The following is a 3,085-nucleotide window of genomic DNA, read 5'->3' on the forward strand; positions in this document are numbered from 1 at the left end:
ATCATTTCTTTGTGGTGAGAATATTTGAAATCCATTTTTACCTATTTTGAAATGTACAATACATTATTAACTATAGTCACCATGCTATGTAGTATACAAGTTTTGTTAGATTTTGAATATATTAATGCATCTATCAAATTTTGCTACCCATGTTATTTCAAAATATTTTATTGTTTTTCACAAAACTGTTACCTGTACACACACACACACACACACACGCACACACACACACACACACACGCACACGCACACACACACACACACACACGTTTACTCTGCATTTTCTCAGAATATCTCCAAGGTATTAATGTTAAATCTATAAAACAGATTTTTTTTTTCTGGAAAGTTTTTCAATGGTTTATTTTGCCCTAAATTTAACCTTTCAAAAGCTATAATTGACAGAAGAACAAACAAATTTTTTGGAGGGAGGAATGTACTGCAGCTAGGCCAACTAACAAATGTTCTCACCACAAAGAAATGATCAGTGTTTGAGATTATAGATGTGTTAAATAGCCTGCCATAGTGATGCAGACAACAACAACAAAGAAAGTACTTGTAGGAAGCTTAAGTTATTTTACGTAGGGAATTGAGGGACAATGCGATAGATTGATCACTGGTCAAAACCATCCTTTATGTAACTTTGCAAGTTCAGTACTCCTAACATTTTCATTCCAGTGGTGCCCTTCCAAAATTGGTATATTAACAAAATTAGCTAGATGATGCAATTAGAAATGTCAAGGAGGAGAGAGAACACAAAAGCATGAAAAACAGAATGAAAGTAAAACTTGGGCCATAGGCAAAATTGTATTTAGAGAATATGAAATAAAAAAGAATGTTGCTTCTGGGGAATTTGAATTAATTTTTTTCTATCAGTTTGTTTCAGGTAATAAATTATTTTGAACACTGTTTTCTGTTCTCTTTGTTTCTTCAGTGATCTTCAATTCTGTAGAAAAATGAAGAGCTGAGAAATTGAGTGAAGTTTTCAGCAGCTTCTGTACCATACTCTACATTTAAATTGTATTAGGTTTCCCTAGTGTATATGTTATGTCATATAAATATTTAGCACTTTGGAAGGGACAATGGGTCAGGAGGACTATTTAGTGAATTATTGTGACTCTGCGTGGAATGTTTGTCATATGACTAAAAAGAAAAGAACTTAGCTCTTTTACAGTAAGAAGTAAATCACTGACATCTTGTTTGGAAAATTTATTTGTGTTTCAAATGAACATACTGTGTGCCTATTTAAAAAAATAATCTCCAGGAATTTGTCTAATCATTAGCTTTAGAACTAGAGTAAAGAATATGTTCCATTTTCTCCTTAACATAAACTACATAGCACATTGCTATGTTAATCATCAAATTTTCAGTTAGAGATTCATTTAACTTTCAACAATGGTTCAATTGTTGCGGGAAGTCAGGGACCTCGAACAGAGGGACTGGCTGGAGCCGTGGCAGAGGAACATAAATTGTGAAGATTTCATGGACATTTATCAATTCCCAAATAATACTCATAATTTTTTACGCCTGTCTTACTTTAATCTCCTAATCCTGTTATATTCATAAGCTAAGGATGTACATCACCTCAGGACCACTATTGTGTTAATGGTACAAATTGATTGTAAAATGTGTGTTTGAAGAATATGAAATCAGTGCACCTTGAAAAAGAACAGAATAACAGCAATTTTCAGGGAACAAGGGAAGACAACCATAAGGTCTGACTGCCTGTGGGGTCAGGCAAAAGAGAGCCATATTTTTCTTCTTGCAGACAGCCTATAAACAGACGTGCAAGTAGGGATTATATCGCTAAATTCTTTTCCTAGCAAGAAATATTAATAATTAATACCCTGGGGAAGGAATGCATTCCTTGGGGGAGGTCTATAAACAGCTGCTCTGGGAGTGTCTGTCTTATGCAGTTGAGATAAGGACTGAAATACACCCTGGTCTCCTGCAGTACCCTCAGGCTTACTAGGGTAGGGAAAAACCCCGCCCCGGTAAATTTGAGGTCAGACCGGTTCTCTGCTCTCGAACCCTGTTTTCTGTTGTTTAAGATGTTTATCAAGACAATACGTGCACCGCTGAACATAGACCCTTAACAGTAATTCCGCTTTTGCCCTTTGCCTTGTGATCTTTGCTTTTGCCCTTTGTCTTGTGATCTTTGTTCTCCTTTTTGCCCTTTGAAGCATGTGATCTTGTGACCTACTCCCTGTTCTTGCACACCCTCTCCTTTTAAAATCCTTAATAAAAACTTGCTGGTTTTGCAGCTCAGGTGGGCATCATGGTCCTACCGAAATGTGATGTCACCCCTGGAGGCCCAGCTGTAAAATTCCTCCTTTTGTACTCTTTCTCTTTATTTCTCAGCCAGCTGACACTTACTTATGAAAAATAGAAAAAAACCTATGTTGAAATATTGGGGGCTGCTTCCCCTGATAGTTCAATCTCCTTTCCCTTTATCAAAATTAAAATGCTTTGATGAGTTCACATTTTAGTGGGAGAGATAAAAATGTAAACACAATTACAAAAGATAAATAGATGCAATTTTAAGAGCACTGAAAATAGATCGTTCACTTTTTGTGTGTGCATTGTGGGTTTTTTGTTTTGTTTTGTTGTTTGTTTTGACATGGTCTTACTTTGTTGCCCAGGCTGGAGTGCAGTGATGTGATCTCGGCTCACTGCAACCTCCACCTCTCGGGTTCAAGCAATTCTCCTGCCTCAACCTCTCAAGTAGCTGGGACTACAGGCGCACACCACCACGCCCAACTAATTTTTGTAATTTTTTAGTAGAGAAGGGGTTTCACCATGTTGGTCAGGCTGGTCTCAAACTCCTGACCCAAGTGACCCACCCGCCTTGGCCTACCAAGATGCTGAAATTACAGGCATGAATGACCATGCCAGGCCTGTTTACCTTTCATTGGAGAACAACATAAACAAATGCATGGTAGCAGGGAAGTATGGGTGGCGTTCTATTTAACAGTGGATCGGAATGCAGGAATTGGGGGAAAAAAGAGGAAGAATCAGAAGAAATAGAACATTATGAAAAATAGTATAGACATGATACTTTTAGGGAAATGGTTAAAAAAATACAAAA

General features: G+C 37.1%; 1 annotated feature.

Annotated features, from left to right (window-relative positions):
* Nucleotides 293-842: an enhancer, noted in NCBI's record as "OCT4-NANOG hESC enhancer chrX:80797713-80798262 (GRCh37/hg19 assembly coordinates)". NCBI's record gives its function as "activates a minimal SCP1, AML or CMV promoter by ChIP-STARR-seq in primed H9 embryonic stem cells {active_cell/tissue: H9 hESC(primed)}" and the evidence as "EXISTENCE:reporter gene assay evidence [ECO:0000049][PMID:30033119]".

The sequence above is a fragment of the Homo sapiens genome, chromosome X (assembly GCF_000001405.40).
Source record: "Homo sapiens chromosome X, GRCh38.p14 Primary Assembly".
NCBI classification, from domain to species: Eukaryota; Metazoa; Chordata; class Mammalia; order Primates; family Hominidae; genus Homo; species Homo sapiens.